We start from the raw sequence: 15,920 nt of genomic DNA on the forward strand, positions 1-15,920 counted from the left end.
TACTGAGAAAACTTATCCCTATAAAAAGGTAGATGGACACTGAAATTTTGTTATAACAAAGTTACTCCATCCTTTGGATTACTTTTTGTTTACATGCCGAAATTTGTTGGGTGACTTAGTATTCTTATTTTCCACGAACTATCACCTAACACCTCGAGTAGGGCCTCCTTCAACCTTTAGGAGAGCAAAGAATTGAAAACATCCACACTGGATTTGTCATCCGGATAGCAGAGCCATTTGCTCTCAAAGACTCCATCTGTTTTCATGATTGTTCGCTCACTGGCCAAGCTTCAGGACGTGTGAGGTAGTTTTTCTGTAAACAGGAAGGCCACAGTGGAGGCCAAGCCTTCCCCATGGGCACCTTCTCAGATTGCGATTGTGGATGAAATGAGGGATTTTCTTGAAACAACCCTCACGCAGGTACCCCTTGGGCAGCCTTCAACCGCTCTGGGGAAGGAGGCCCCAGGCATAGACAACTGCAGTATAAATAATCATCCCTACAGTGCTCTGTCAGGGCTGTAGGGGGGCACGGGACAGTAAGGGAGGAGGCTGAACTGCGCGATTTTACCTGGCTTCTCCAGAAGGGTAAGGCGGCCAGTTGGACCCGGTCCTTGTGTTCGGAGAACAGAGTCACCCAGGCCTCGAACGCCTGCGATGGTCGGCGTCTCTTCCCTAGGTGACGCAAGACGCGGAGCTCGGCTGCACGACGCTGGCGCAAGCGCGGGGGCAAGAGCGCCGGCCTCCGAGACGGTTAGTGATTGGACGAAGCAGGGCGCGGGGGCGCAAGCCCGGGTCCTGCAGGGGCGACGCGAGGCCTCTTTTGAAAGATGCGGCCCTGACCCTGTGAACCTCGCGCAGAGCGGCCTGAAGCGAGAGGTTGAGGCTGGGAGGTGGGAGCAACGGCGGCGGCGGCCGCCTGCGAGCCCCCGGCCTGAGGCGCAGCAGCAGCTGCCCGTCTTCCCACATAGAGGGCAGGAAGGACAACTTTGGTGGGTAGGGGTTGGGCCAGGACTCAGGAGGCCACCTACGAGCTGATTTTTTTTTCTTTTTTTCTTTTTTCCTGACCTTGCTAATATCTTCCCTAACTCCTGAGTAGTTTTAAGGTCTTTTACAGGGACCTCTCTCTGTTCCTTCTTTCCTCCTTTGTAGCAGAGGTTTAGGGAAGGGATTCAGGAGAGAAGAGGTCCGTGTCTATGAAAACTCAAAAAGCAGTCGTGAGATCAGTTCAAGAGGGATTTGACTCTAGTCATCTGAATATGTGCCAAGGCCATTTATGGAAATAATGGGGGGGTGGGGTTTGGAGTAAATATTTTCAGTTTACATAGCGTTTTGTCTTGTTTTCTGCCAATTTTATCGTGACCTCTAGGTGAGAAAATGGCTAGCAACAATCATTGGTTTCAGAGTTCGCAGGTCCCCAGCTTTGCCCAGATGCTGAAAAAGAACCTGCCAGTTCAACCAGCGACAAAGACGATAACTACACCCACAGGATGGTCCTCAGAAAGTTACGGCCTGTCCAAGATGGCATCCAAGGTTACGCAAGTAACGGGTACGACTTTTTTCATTTGTAACAATGAGTCAGTTCTTTAAGATTCTAGGATGGCCAGTAAGTTCTGTCGAGTCTCTGGTTTAAAGGTTTCGTGGTTGTATAGACATTTACCCGTGGCCGTGTACCTGGAGCTGGCATCTGACTCAACATTTGGAGGAGGCCTGTAGAGCTCTTTACCTGTGCCGCTCGTTTAACCATCTGTTACCACCTTGACTGTTCAAACCCCCCCCTTCAAGTGTGGCTTGCCTTTCTGAGGTGAGGCGCAAGGGAAGATACTGGACTTACACTGGTCTGTATTCCACATAGCACTTAGCGTAGTGTTAAGTATAAAGCAGGGGCAAACATACTTTAAAATTCGGTGGAATCCAGTGAGAAAATGAGTGGATGGGAGCCAGAAGCTACGTTTTAGTCCCAGATCTGTGTCTTTCTGTATTCTAGGCCTTAGTGATATTATCTGTAAAAATTTCTTGGTTTCTGGAGACCCTGACATCACTAAAATTCCATGACCCTTGATATCACTTAATAATGACATGTTGATATTACCTTTTTGCAAAATAGTCTTAGTACTCGATAGATGCAATAACATGTGGTGCTTGTCATGTGTGCCAAAATTGTTTAGTAGAAACTTAAGAAAAACATATGATGAAGTGTATCTGGGACAACCTTCCATTTCGGGGAGGATTTATTGCTTTTGCTCATTTTTGTTTGTTTGTTTTAAACCAAATTGACAAGTATAACATTTGTTTTTAGGTAATTTTCCAGAGCCGTTGCTTTCCAAGAATCTTTCATCTATTTCAAATCCTGTCCTTCCTCCAAAAAAAATACCTAAGGAATTTATAATGAAATACAAACGTGGAGAGATAAATCCTGTGTCAGCCTTGCACCAGTTTGCACAAATGCAGCGAGTTCAGCTTGACCTTAAGGAAACTGTGACAACAGGCAAGTGTAAAATTGTATTTGTCTCAAAAACAAAACGAAAAGTATAGCAAAATAATTGTGCTAAGTTTAGTTCTTTCTTCTAATATTGGAGTTAGGTAACTGATTGTATGTTTTCACAAGAATACTTAAATGTTTATGTTCACACTTCTTTAGCCTTTGCAGCCTCTACAAATAACTCACATATACCAAAGTTTTATAATCATTGAATTGTAATTTTCTTATGTGTCGCTAGCTGAATGGAAATTAGTCTCATGGACTATTTTGGGGTGTAATTACTTCCTGTATCATAAACATGCTTTTGTAAAGATGTTAAATATTTGGACTATGATTATTTTATGAGAAGGATTCTGTGAGGATGATGACTAAGAAAAGGTCAAATTTGCCTTCTGAAACTCAAGCATTAGATTATATGATTGGTACTTTGTCTGCAGACTAGTCTGTTACAGTTTTCTCAATTCTCTCTTAAACTCCCCAAACAGAATAATCTGTAACCATGCTGTGCCTGTGAAAGGCTACACGAGTACAGATAAGGAAAATGCAGAAAGTAGTTTCTGATCTCTTCACATTATAGCCAATGATTAGGAAGATTTTAGGAAAGTGGAAGGATAAGTGCTCTTAAGAGGCATTGACAGCTTAAAATTTTAAATTTTAAAAACTTTGTGTATATGTACATGTGTGTGTGTTTGTACACACACATGAGTAGTTAGGTTGTTTCTTTAATTTTCCTGGTGCTAACTTGCCAATATGGATCTCAAAGCTAACATCTTTGCTAAATAACTTTAACATGTCAAGATTTTAGTAAAGATAGTTACAGCGACATCAAGTTTCAGTCTGTTGTTTTAGGTGGAATACCAGTAAACTAACAGGTGACAGAAATAGTATCTTAACATAGATGGTGGTGGTAATGTAGAAGGTGGACTTAATTTCCGTGTAACTAGTTAGCTTTCCTCCAGTAATCTCACACTGCTCTTGGAAAATGTAAACTGTTGGTCATTGTAAGAAAAAATAAATGATCAGGACAAATCTTCACTGCTCTGAGCAAAAACTACTAAAAAACATGACCTGTTGGTTGTTAATGGTGTACATTTTATGCTCAAAGTATATAGTTCAATAATCCAGTGTGTTTGGTAGTGAAACCACAGTGTCAGAATTTTTTAATAGCTCTATGTGTGATTTAGATTTACACTAAAGTTTGAGAACCTGAGTTATAAACAGGCTGAAGCTTAAAGGCTCCGCATTCTGACACAGAAGACTTACTAATAAATTTTAGGTAAAATATCTTTTTTTTTCTTTAGATAGAGGCTCTCACTCTGTTATCCAGGCTGGAGTGCAGTGGTGATCCTCCCACCCCAGCCTCCCAAATAGCTAAGACTGCTGCAGGCATCCACCACCAGGCCTGGCTAATTTTCAAAATGTCCTGTAGAGAAGGAGTCTCACTATATTGCCTAGGCTGACCTCGAACTCCTGGCATCAAGAGATCCTCCAACCTCAGCTTCCCAAAGTGATGGGATTATGAGTGTGAGCCAGTGCACCCAGCCAAGATGTGTAATATACATAAGAATCATCTGGGCCACTTGTTGATTATACAAAATTCTCTCTGATTTAGTAAACCTGGATTGGAACCCAGGTGATCATGAAGAAAAGAACTTGGGAAACTGAAGTCTGAGATGTTATGGGGAAAGCAGTTTACCCAGAAGCAGTCAGGAGTTGCTTGTAAAACCTAGATGTACATATTAAAGAGTTAATGTAATATAATTGTGAGTATGTGAGGAAATAAGAGTGGGGTTTATGTGTGGCAGCATTGTATGTAGCCATCTGTAACCAAAGAGTGGAGAGTCAGATTCCTAAAGGCCTCCTAAAGTCTAAATACTAACAAGCAAAACCTCAAACAGAAGAATCTTTGACCTGTAAATACGGGAGACAAGACAATTCTATTTCATTTTTTATCCAAATATAAAAGCTAAGTAAATAAATTGTGATGACTGGACATTCAGTTTAATTCTTTAGTTTATCATTATGTTTTGGTTTTCTCTTCCTCTCTCTCCCCACCTCCTCTCCCACTCCCCAACCTTCACAGCTGTAATGGGTTGAGTTGCTTATAATGCCCTGATAGTACACAGGGTTTCTTCAAAGAGATCTCTTATATTCTGGAGCTTAAAAGTATATTAGGGCAATCCAAGGGGTGGGGGAAATTCAGCTTTCTTTGTTTTAAAGTTTTAAAGACGTTTGTATTTAAGTTTTAAAGATGTGAGATGTTACGTGAAATCTCCACATTTTATCTCTCACTAGCCGTTTGACAGATAGTGGAGTGTTTACCATTGCCAGGCATTATACTAGACACTCACTGTTACTCCACGTGTGATCAGTACTCTACTACTGGCCCTATTGCTCACACTGAATCTGGAGCTGGCCTAAGCTGCTTGAATCCTCAGAGTTAGTTCAGATGCCCATTCAGTTTTAGTTTAACTCCTATTGGTCCTACAAAAGGACTTGTAAAGTTGGTGTTTATGAGGTAGTTTTTGAGAATTTTTGTACTGGAATGTTTTCCTATGTACATACATTGTTTGCAAGAATATAATAAAAATTATTGTAGCATTCATTCTGAGTTCTTTTTCAAGGTAATGTTATGGGACCATATTTTGCCTTTTGTGCTGTGGTGGATGGTATTCAGTACAAGACTGGACTGGGACAAAATAAAAAGGAGTCTAGATCCAATGCAGCAAAATTAGCTCTTGATGAGCTTCTACAACTGGATGAACCTGAACCACGAATTTTAGAAACATCAGGTAAATACTCTTGATTATAAAGTATTTATAAGAGGTATCATTTTTCAAAAGGAATCACCTGAAAGATTTATGTTAATGAGAGTTACTTGGCAGCTACAAGATAGAAGTTGCAGGATTTGAATAATTTATTTCAGTTGCTGTCCACTGATGTATTTAATAGTAGTTAAAATGCTCTTGCATATTTCAGCACTGAAAGGTATAATCATGTTGCTAAACTGTCCGGTAACTTGTCAGGTTGTTAATTGACAGATTAAGTCCTAAAATATAGTTTTCTTTGTAATTTGTTAGATTCTTATTATGAATGTAATACTGTACATTTAATACTTAGAGGTTTTAAATGCAGCGTTTGTGAAGTTTATGTTAAATTCAGTAAATGGTAGAATTACTTGAGAAAATGGCCTAAGGTAGCATAGCAAATAGGTTAAGTGTGTGAACTCCAGAATTCGATTGCTCAGGTTGGAATATTGACCCTATGCTGACAAGTTGTTTGCCCTCTAAACCTGTTTTATTTGGAGAGGGGAGACAGTGATAGTTATACCTTCTGTGGTTGTCATTAGGATTAGATAAACAATGCATGCAAAGTCCTTAACCAGTGCCTACTGAAGAATACACAATCAAATTACAAAGTATTTAAAATACTTTGTTGAACTCAAGTTAAAACATACCTATAGAATTTCCTAAGCATCCAGTTAAATTGTGAGAAAAATATATTGATGATTAGTTTCTCCTGCCTTTTCCCTAATAGCTTTCAGAATGTTTATGTAGGGCTAGCGAATGTTTTGCCCACTGGTCTGCAAACTTTAGTTTCTAAAACATTTATTTTTTTCCCTCCTTCATAAAAATTAAGGTGGCATTTAACCATGTCTGCTGCCACTACTTTGAAAACTAAGGCAGCATTTACCCATGTCTGCTGTCGGCACTTCTATATTCATTATTGTTTTCTCCAAAAAGTACCAATGGTGCCTTAATTACAACTAAAAGTTCTTTAACGATATATTCTGTCTTGGGCTAGAGCCTGAAAAAATAATAAGGTCATCTTTTTCCCTATAGTAAGCTAGAGTTTCTTCTTTATTTTTTCTACTGTAGACAGCTGAGTTTAAATATCTATTTGTGTTATGAAAGGATGTAGAAGATAAGAGTTCAGTATTCATTATTAACAATTTTTCTAGTCTTCTCCTTCTTATTCACAACATAAAACTTTTAAAACTTTAGTTTTTTTCAAAATTTTGAGCTCATCACTGTTTTAAAATTATTTTTCATGTATATCTTCTTTAATATTTTGCACATGGTTTTTTTATGTAGTGTTTTTCGTTTTGTTTTGTTTGAGACAGAGTCTCACTCTGTCACCCAGGCTGGAGTGCAGTGGTGCGATCTCTGCTCACTGCAACCTCCCCCTCCCGGGTTCAAGTGATTCTCATTCCTCAGCCTCCCTAGTAGCTGGGATTATAGGTGCCTGCCACCACACCCGGCTAATTTTTGTATTTTTAGTAGAGATGGGGTTTCACCATGTTGGCCAGGCTGGTCTTGAACTCCTGACCTCAAGTGATCCTCCCACCTTGGCCTCCCAAAGTGCTGGGATTATAGGCATGAGCCACTGCACCTGGACTGATGTAGTTTGTTTGTTTTTTTAAAGGATACGTGTGCAGAACATGCCAGTTTGTTACATAGGTATACATGTGCCATGGCAGTTTGCTTTACCTATTAACCTGTCCTCTGTTCCCTCCCTCAACTCCCACCCCCTAAAAGGCCCTGGTGTGTGTTGTTCCCCTCTCTGTGTCCATGTGTTCTCAATGTTCAGCTCCCACTTATGAGTGAGAACTTCAGTATTTGGTTTTCTGTTCCTGTGTTAGTTTGCTGAGGATGATGGCTTCTGGCTTCATCCATGTCCCTTCAAAGGACATGATCTCATTCCTTTTTATGGCCGCATAGTATTCCATGGTGTATATGTACCATATTTTCTTTATCCATTCTATCATTGATGGCCATTTGGGTTGGTTCCATGTCTTCGCTATTGTAAATAGTGCTGCAGTAAACATACGTGTGCATGTGTCTTTATAGTAGAATGATTTATATTCCTTTGGATATATATCCAGTAATGGTATTGCTGGGTCAAATGGTATTTCTGGTTCTAGATCCTTGAAGAATCACCATGCTGTCCTCCACAATGGTTAAACTAATTTACATTCCCACCAATAGTATAAAAGCATTCCTATTTCTCCACAGCCTCACCAGCATGTATTGTTTCCTGACTTTTTAGTAATAGCCATTCTGACTGGCATGAGATGGTATCTCATTGTGGTTTTGATTTGCATTTCTCTGATGATCAGTGATATTGAGCTTGCTTTTTTCATATGTTTGTTGGCCGCATAAATGTCTTCTTTTGAGAAGTGTCTGTTCATATCTGTGGCCCACTTTTTGATGGGATTGTTTTTTTCTTGTAAATATGTTTAAGTTCCTTGTAAATTCTGGATATTAGACCTTTGTCAGATGTGTAGATCAAAAATTTTCTCCCATTTTGTAGGTTGCCTGTTTGATCACAGTTTCTTTTGCTGTGCAGAAGCTCTTCAGTTTAATTAGATCACATTTGTCAATTTTGGCTTTTGTTGCAATCGCTTTTAGCATTTTTAACATGAAGTCTTTGCCCATGCCTGTGTCCTGAATGGTATTGCCTAGGTTTTCTTCTAGGGATTTTATGGTTTTGGATTTTACATTTAAGTCTTTAATCCATCTTGAGTTAATTTTTGTATAAGGTGTAAGGAAGGGGTACAGTTTCCATTTTCTGCATATGGCCAGCCAGTTTTCCCAGCACCATTTACTGAATAGGAGATCCTTTCCCTATTGCTTGTTTTTGTTCAGTTTGTTGAAGATCAGATGGTTGTAGATGTGTGGAGTTATTTCTGAGGTATCTATTCTGCTCCAATGGTCTACATGTCCGTTTTGGTGCCAGTACCATGCTGTTTTGGTTACTGTATTCTTGTAGTATAGTTTGAAGTCAGGTAGCATGATGCCTCCAGCTTTGTTCTTTTTGCTTAGGATTGTCTTGGCTATATGGGGTCTTCTTTGATTTCATATGAAATTTAAAATAGTTTTTTCTAATTCTGTGAAGAATGTCAATGGTAGTTGCGAAAGTAGCATTGAATCTATAAATTAGTTTGGGCAGTATGGCCATTTTCTTTTCACGATATTGATTCTTCTATCCGTGAGGATGGAATGTTTTTCCATTTGTTTGTGTCCTCTGTTATTTCCCCGAGCAGTGGTTTGTAGTTCTTCTTGAAGAGGTCCTTCACATTCCTTGTTAGTTGTATTCCTAGGTATTTTATTCTCTTTGTAGTGATTGTGAATGGGAGTTTATTCATGCTTTGGCTCTCTGCTTGCCTACTGTTGGTGTAAAGGAATGCTTGTGATTTTTGCACATTGATTTTGTATCCTGAGACTTTGCTGAAGTTGCTTATCAATTCAGGAAGTTTTGGGGCTGAAAAGATGGGGTTTTCTAAATACAAAATCATGTCGTCTACAAACAGAGACAAATTGACTTCCTCTCTTCTTATTTGAATACCTTTTATTTCTTTCTCTTCCCTGATTGCCCTGGCCAGAACTTCCAAAACTATGTTGAATAGGAGTTCAACATACAAAAGTATGTTGAATAATAGTGTGCCAGTTTTCAAAGGGAATGCTTCCAGCTTTTGCCCATTCAATATTATATTGGCTTTGGTTTGTCATAAATAGCTCTTATTATTTTGAGACATGTTCCATCAATACCTTATATATTGAGAGGTTTTTTTTTTTTGTTTTTTGTTTTTTGTTTTTTTTTGAGACGGAGTCTTGCTCTGTTGCCCAGGCTGGAGTGCAATGGCATGATCTCGGCTCACTGCAAGCTCTGCCTCCTGGGTTCATGCCATTCTCCTGCCTGAGCCTCCCGAGTAGCTGGGACTACAGGCACCTGCCACCACACCCAGCTAATTTTTTGTATTTTTAGTAGAAACAGGGTTTTACCGTGTTAGCCAGGATGGTCTTGATCTCCTGACCTCGTGATCCACCCGCCTTGGCCTACCAGAGTGCTGGGATTACAGGCATGAGCCACTGCGCCCGGCTGAGAGTTTTTAACATGAAAGGATGTTGAAATTTATCAAAGGCCTTTTCTGCATATATTAAGATAGTCATGTGGTTTTTGTCTTTGGTTCTGTGTATATGATGGATTACATTTATTGATTTGTGTATGTTGAACCAGCCTTGCATTCCAGGGATGAAGCCGACTTGATTGTGGTGAATAAGTTTTTTGATGTGCTGCTGGATTTCATTTGCCAGTATTTCATTGAAGATTTTCCCATTGATGTTCATCAGGTATATTGGCCTGAAGTTTTCCTTTTTTGTTGTGTCTTTTCCTGGTTTTAGTATCAGGATGATGCTGGCTTCATAAAATGAGTTAGGGAGGAGTCCTTCCTTTTCAATTGTTTGGAATAGTTTCAGAAGGAATGGTACCAGCTCCTCTTTGTATTTCTGGTAGAATTCAGCTGTGAATCCATCTGGTCCTGGACTTTTTTTTGGTTGGTAGGCTACTAATTGCTGCCTCAATTTCAGAGCTTGTTATTGGTCTATTCAGGGATTTGACTTCTTCCTCGTTTAGTCTTGGGAGGTTGTATGCATCCAGGAATTTATCTATTTCTTCCAGATTTTCTAGTTTATTTGTGTAGAGGTGTTTGTAGCATTCTCTGATGATAGTTTATATTTCTGTGGGGTCAGTGGTGATATCCCCTTTATCATTTTTTATTGTGTCTATTTGATTCTTTTCTCTTCTTCTTTATTAGTCTAGCTAGCAGTCTATTTTGTTAATTTGTTTCAAAGAAAAAAAACAGCTTCTGGATTCGATTTTTTTTGGAGGGTTTTTCATGTCTCTGTCTCCTTCAGTTCTGCTCTGATCTTAGTTATTTCTTGTCTTCTGCTAGCTTTTGGATTAGTTTACTCTTGCCTCCGAAGCTCTTTTAATTGATGTTCGGGTATCAATATCAGATCTTTCTAGCTTTCTGATGTGGGCATTTAGTGCTATAAATTTCCCTCTTAACACTACTTTAGCTGTGTCCCAGAGATTCTGGTACATTGTCTCTTTGTTCTTATTGGTTTCAAAGAACTTCTTGATTTCTGCCTTGATTTCATTATTTACCCAGGAGTCATTCAGGAACAGTTGTTCAATTTCCAATAAATTGTGTGGTTTTGAGTGAGTTTCTTAATCCTGAGTTCTAATTTTATTGCACTGTAGTCTGAGAGACTGTTAGGATTTCAGTTCTTTTGCATTTGCTGAGTGTTTTACTTCCAATTACATGGTCCATTTTAGAATTAAGTGCCACGTGGCACTGAGAAGAATGTATATTCTGTTGACTTGGGGTGGAGAATTCTGTAGATGTCTGCCAGGTCCACTTGATCCAGAGCTGAGTTCAAATCCTGAATATGCTTGTTAATTATCTGTCTCATTGATCTAATACTGACAGTGTGGTGTTAAAGTCTCCCACTATTATTGTGTGGGACTTTAAGTCTCTTTGTAGGTTTCTAAGAACTTGTTTTATGAATCTGGGTGCTCCTGTATTGGGTGCATATATATTTAGAATAGTTAGCTCTTCTTGGTGAATTTTTCCCTTTACCATTAGGTAATGCCCTCCTTTGTCTTTTTTGATCTTTGTTGGTTTAAAGTCTGTTTTGTCAGAGACTAGGATTGCAACCTCTGCTTTTTTCACTTTCCATTTACTTGGTAGATTTTCCTCCATCCCTTTATTTTGAGCCTGTGTGTGTCTTTGCACATAAGATGGATCTCCTGAATACATCACACCAATGGGTCTTGACTCCTTACCCAGTGTGCCAGTCTGTGTGCTTTAATTGGGGCATTTAACCCATTGACATTTAAGGTTAGTGTTGTTATGTGTGAATTTGATCCTGTCATCATGATGCTATTTGGTTATTTTGCACACTAGTTGATGCACTAGTTTATTCATAGTGTCATTGGTCTTTATATTTTGGTGTGTTTTTGCAGTGGCTCTTTCCGATTTTTCATTTCCGTATTTAGTGCTTCTTTCAGGAGTTCTTGCAGGGCACATCTGGTGGTAATGAAATCCCTCAGCATTTGTTTCTCTGAAAAGGATTTTATTTCTTCTTCACTTATGAAGCTTAGTTTGGCTGGATGTGAAATTCTGGGTTGATAGTTCTTTTGTTTAAGAATGTTGAATATTGGCCCCCAATCTCTCCTGGCTAGCAGAGTTTCTGCTGAGAGATCCCCTGTTAGTCTGAAGAGTTTCCCTTTGTAGGTGACCTGGCCTTTCTTTCTGGCTGCCCTTAATAGTTTTTCCTTCATTTCAGCCTTGGAGAATCTGATGATTATGTGTCTTGGGGTTGATCTTCTTGTGGAGTATCTTAATGGTGTTCTCTGTATTTCCTGAATTTGCACTTTGTCCTGTCTTGCTAGGTTGTGGAAGTTCTCCTGGATAACATCCTGAAGTGTGTTTTCCAGCTTGTTTCCATTCTCTCTGTCTCCTTCTGGTACTCCAGTCAATCATAGGTTTGGTCTTTTTATGAAGTCCCATATTAGAGTCTTTGTTCATTCATTTTCATGTTTTTGTCTATTCTTGTTTGCATGTCTTATTTCAGTAAGGTGGTCTTCAAATTCTGATATCCTTTTCTCTGCTTAGTCAATTCAGCTGTTGATACTTGTGTATGCTTCACAAAGTTCTCATGCAGTTTTTTTCAGCTCCATCAGGTAGTTTATGTTCCTCTCTACACTGGTTATTCTAGTTAGCAATTCCTCTATCCTTTTACCAAGGTTCTTAGCTTGCTTCTTTGCATTGGGTTAGAACATGCTCCTTTAGCTCAGCGAAGTTTTTTGTTACCCATCTTCTGAATCCTACTTCTGTCAATTTGTCCATGTGATCCTCCATTCAGTTATGTGCCCTTGATGGAGAGACATCGTGATCATTTGTAGAAGAGGCACTCTGGCCTTTTGGGTTTTCAGTATTTTTTCATTGATTCTTTATCATCTTCGTGAGGTTGTCTAGTTTCAGTCTTTGAGCCTGCTGACCCTTGGATAGGGTTTTTGTGGGGAGCTTTTTTGTTCTTGTTGATGCTATTGTTGCTTTCTGCTTGTTCGTTTTTCTTTCAATAGTCAGGTCCCTCTTCTGCAAGGCTGCTGCAGTCTGTTGGGGTTCACTTCAGGCCCTATTTATCTGATTCTCTCCCGTGCCTGGAGATGTCACTCAGGGAGGCTGGAGAACAGCAAAGATGGGTGCCTGCTCCTCCCTCTGGGGCCTCTGACTTTGAGGGGCACCAACCTGATGCCGGTAGGATCACTCCTGTATAAGGTGCCTGACAACCCCTGTTGGAATGTCTCACCCAGTTGGGTGGCACGGGGAGCAGGACCCGCTTAACAAGGCACTTTGTCCTTTGTTGGAGAGGGTGTGCTTCGCTGTGGAGAAACCCACTCCTCTGCGTTGCCCAGATTCCTCAGAACTACCAGGAAGAAAGGCTAAGTCTGCTGGTCCGCAGAGACTATGGCCACCCCTCCCACTTAGGGGCTCAGGCCCAGGGAGATCCAAATTCTGTCCCTGAGCCTCTAGCTGGAGTTATTGGAGATCCTCCAGGGAAGCCCCGCCCAATGAGGAAGGATGGGTCAGGTTTAGGCCTGAAGAGGCCCTTTGGCCACAGACTGCCACAGCCGGTATGTTGGGCTGTGGGGATAAGTCTTGGGACTTGTCTTTTTTGTTTGTTTGTTTTTTGTTTTTTGTTTTGAGACAGAGTCTCTCTGTCACCCATACTGGAGGGCAATGGCGCAGTCTTAGCTCACTGCAACCTTTGTCTTCCAGGTTCAAGTGATTCTTGTGTCTCAGCTTCCTGAGTAGCTGGAATTACAGGTGCGCGCCACCATGCCCAGCTGACCTTTGTATTTTTAGTAAAGATAGGGTTTCGCCATGTTGCCCAGGCTGGTCTCAAACTCCCAGCCTCAAGTGATCTGCCCAACTCAGCCTCCCAAAATGCTGGGATTACAAGCATGAGCCAACATGCCTGACCTTGTACTTGGTGTTTTAAAATGCAAAACATCTTGTACAGTCTTTCTTTCTTTGTTTATTGAAATTATTTATGCCTAATAAACAGGATTTAATATCTTTAATTTTCATTCCATGGAATTAAATCTATCTGTCTCTGAGTTTTAAAGTTCTGCTTATCTAAAATCCAGAATGTCAACAACTCTATTACTGGGTTTATAACCAAAAGAAAATAAATTATTCTTTCAAAAAGACACATGCAATCTTATGTTCATCTCTGCACTATTCACAACAGCAAAGACATCAAATCAACCCAGGTGCCCATCAGTGGTAGATTGGATAAAGAAAGTGTGGTACATACACAACTGTGGACTACTATGCAGCCATTAAAAAAATAAAGTCATGTCCTTTGCAGCAACATGGATGGAGCTGGAGGCCATAATCCTAAGCAAATAAACGCAGGAATGTAAAACCAAATACCTCAAGTTCTCACTTGTTGTTAATATTAGGAGCTACTCATTAAGCATGTGTAGCCATAAATATTGGAACAATAGATGCTGTGGACTACTAAAGGGTGGAGGGAGGTGGGGGTAAAAGAAAAACTACCTTTGGATACTATGGTCACTATCAGGTGATGGAATCCATACTCTAAACCTCAGCATCATGCAGTATTCCCATTTAACAAACCTACACATGTACCTCCTGTATCTAAAAAGTTGAAAGTTTTTGAAAAAAGTTTATACTTTATAAATTGTTACTATATGGTATATGGGGGATGTAGTGCTCTAAATAAATAAAACTGGAATTTCTTATCAGATAAAAAAATAAAAAGTCCAGCGTCTATGTATCTAAACCATACTTAGTATTTTTCTTTTACTCGTATGAGCTCTAAGGTGACATTGTCACTCTTTGTTCACTTCTGTCTTCCTCAAAATTAATTCCAGAGAAGCAGTTCTGTTTGCTTTCTTTGTCTTTATGAATGATTCTTAAGAGAAACTGACTACTTTAATTGGTACCTTAGCTTCTGCAGCCTCTTCCTTAAATTTTCCTGATTTTTTTTTTTTTTTTTTGTCCCTCAGGTTTAGTGGTTTTTAAACTTTTTTCTGTACTCCCTAACTTTGGAGACCAAATTGAAAAGCAGTTGTAAAGAGTGAGACTAAAAGCATTGAAAACTGCGAATGTAGCATTCCCTTAGAAAAATGGCCTGGTAAAATAGTGTTATTTATAAAATGATATATTTTACTCATTAATTTTTAATAGAACATTAATTTAAAATGTTTTTCACAGTATTATAAATAGAAAGTTGTTTATATGTATCTAAAATAGGATTTCATTTTAGCAGCTTTTCAGGATGTTGCATCTATTATAAAGCAAGCAATATTGTACTGTAAGATTAGGAAACTCAGAAATTTGTTTGCATAAACAATTTCAAAATAGGAAAGACATTTATCAGGGCTGAGCTAATGAGTATTTGATGGCCCAGAGTTGGCAAAAATACGGAAAAAAAAATTTTTGGATTGCTGTTTTATTACAGAATAAAAGAAATACCAGCTCTTTGGAATGTTGAAGTTTCATGTTTCCTTATGTTTTTGTTTTGTTTACAGGTCCTCCTCCTTTCCCTGCAGAACCTGTTGTTTTATCTGAACTAGCATATGTTTCAAAAGTACATTATGGTAGGAAAGTTTTTTGTGACGTTCTTCTTTAGAAGAGTAGCCCAATTAAAAATAGTAACAACATAATTAAAATAAGCATAGGTATGAAAATGTACATTAACACTTTATCATCCAAACCTTTCACACTTCTACAAAAAGAAGAATTTTTTTCTATACTATGCTAAAAATGAAAGAAACAAGGAATGGAGAGGACAGATTGAAGAAAAGATTTTTTTTTCCTATAAGGAGATGTTTTATCAATTTCATACATCTTTTTTAGAATTCTTTGCTTTGGTGGGCTTGTCATGAACGAAAACCAATGGCTTTGTGATACTTGGAGGTCATTTGACACATTCATTTCAAATAATTTGTTTATTTTGTTTTAATGACCATTATTTGTCACTCAAGCCCGAGAAAGCTGCAACTTCAATTGAAGTTACTAGTTGTGTGACCTAGGACCAGTTACTTCTCTGTGTACCTTTTTTACTCATCTATGAGATAGTCATTACGGTAATTATCTTATAGGGTTATCATGAGGATTAAATGAATTCATAAATGTAAAATTCTTAACATCAGTGCCTAACACACCATAGATACTCACTAAATAGTAACTAATATTATTTTATTATAACAATCATATTTCACATTGTATGGTAGTTATTATATATTTTGCCTTTTAGATTATGAATCTCCTGAAAGCTAGACAATTATTCTTAATTTTTACTTTTACTACCAAGTGGGCACACTTCAGACTTTAAAGTTTAGAGTATTTGTAAGAGGAAAAAGGAAAGGAGCCTTTATTTTCCATTTTCAGGCCTGCAGGTTAGGATTTGACAAGTTCCATGCCTATTCAGCATCCATTGTCTTTCTAAGACAGGAAAAAGGCCTTGCACATTTGTGTGCTTGCGTGAAGTAAAAGGACCAGACCAGGGAAAATAGGCCCATTCAAAAGACAAAAATCCACCAATAGTTAGATATA

At 39.0% G+C, this 15,920-nt stretch overlaps 1 protein-coding gene across 10 annotated transcripts in view; it reads left to right on the top strand.

The window, feature by feature from the left end:
• Nucleotides 1–315: 315 nt before the first annotated feature.
• The window catches only part of ADAD1 (adenosine deaminase domain containing 1), a 50,774-nt gene continuing 35,169 nt past the window's right edge, over nt 316–15,920 (top strand). For 2 of the 10 annotated variants that reach the window (XM_024453888.1, XM_024453889.1), the window contains exons 1-5: nt 663–750; nt 1,367–1,546; nt 2,297–2,485; nt 5,104–5,271; nt 14,894–14,962. In XM_024453888.1, the coding sequence (XP_024309656.1) occupies nt 1,375–1,546; nt 2,297–2,485; nt 5,104–5,271; nt 14,894–14,962 (598 nt within the window). In that variant the 5' untranslated portion in view covers nt 663–750; nt 1,367–1,374. Of the gene's footprint in view, nt 421–662; nt 751–822; nt 990–1,366; nt 1,547–2,296; nt 2,486–5,103; nt 5,272–14,893; nt 14,963–15,920 lie in introns of those variants that run through there. The other 8 variants (XM_005262741.3, XM_005262744.4, XM_011531603.3 and 5 more) reach the window with 6 other exon arrangements.

The sequence above is a fragment of the Homo sapiens genome, chromosome 4 (genome assembly GCF_000001405.40).
Source record: "Homo sapiens chromosome 4, GRCh38.p14 Primary Assembly".
NCBI classification, from domain to species: Eukaryota; Metazoa; Chordata; class Mammalia; order Primates; family Hominidae; genus Homo; species Homo sapiens.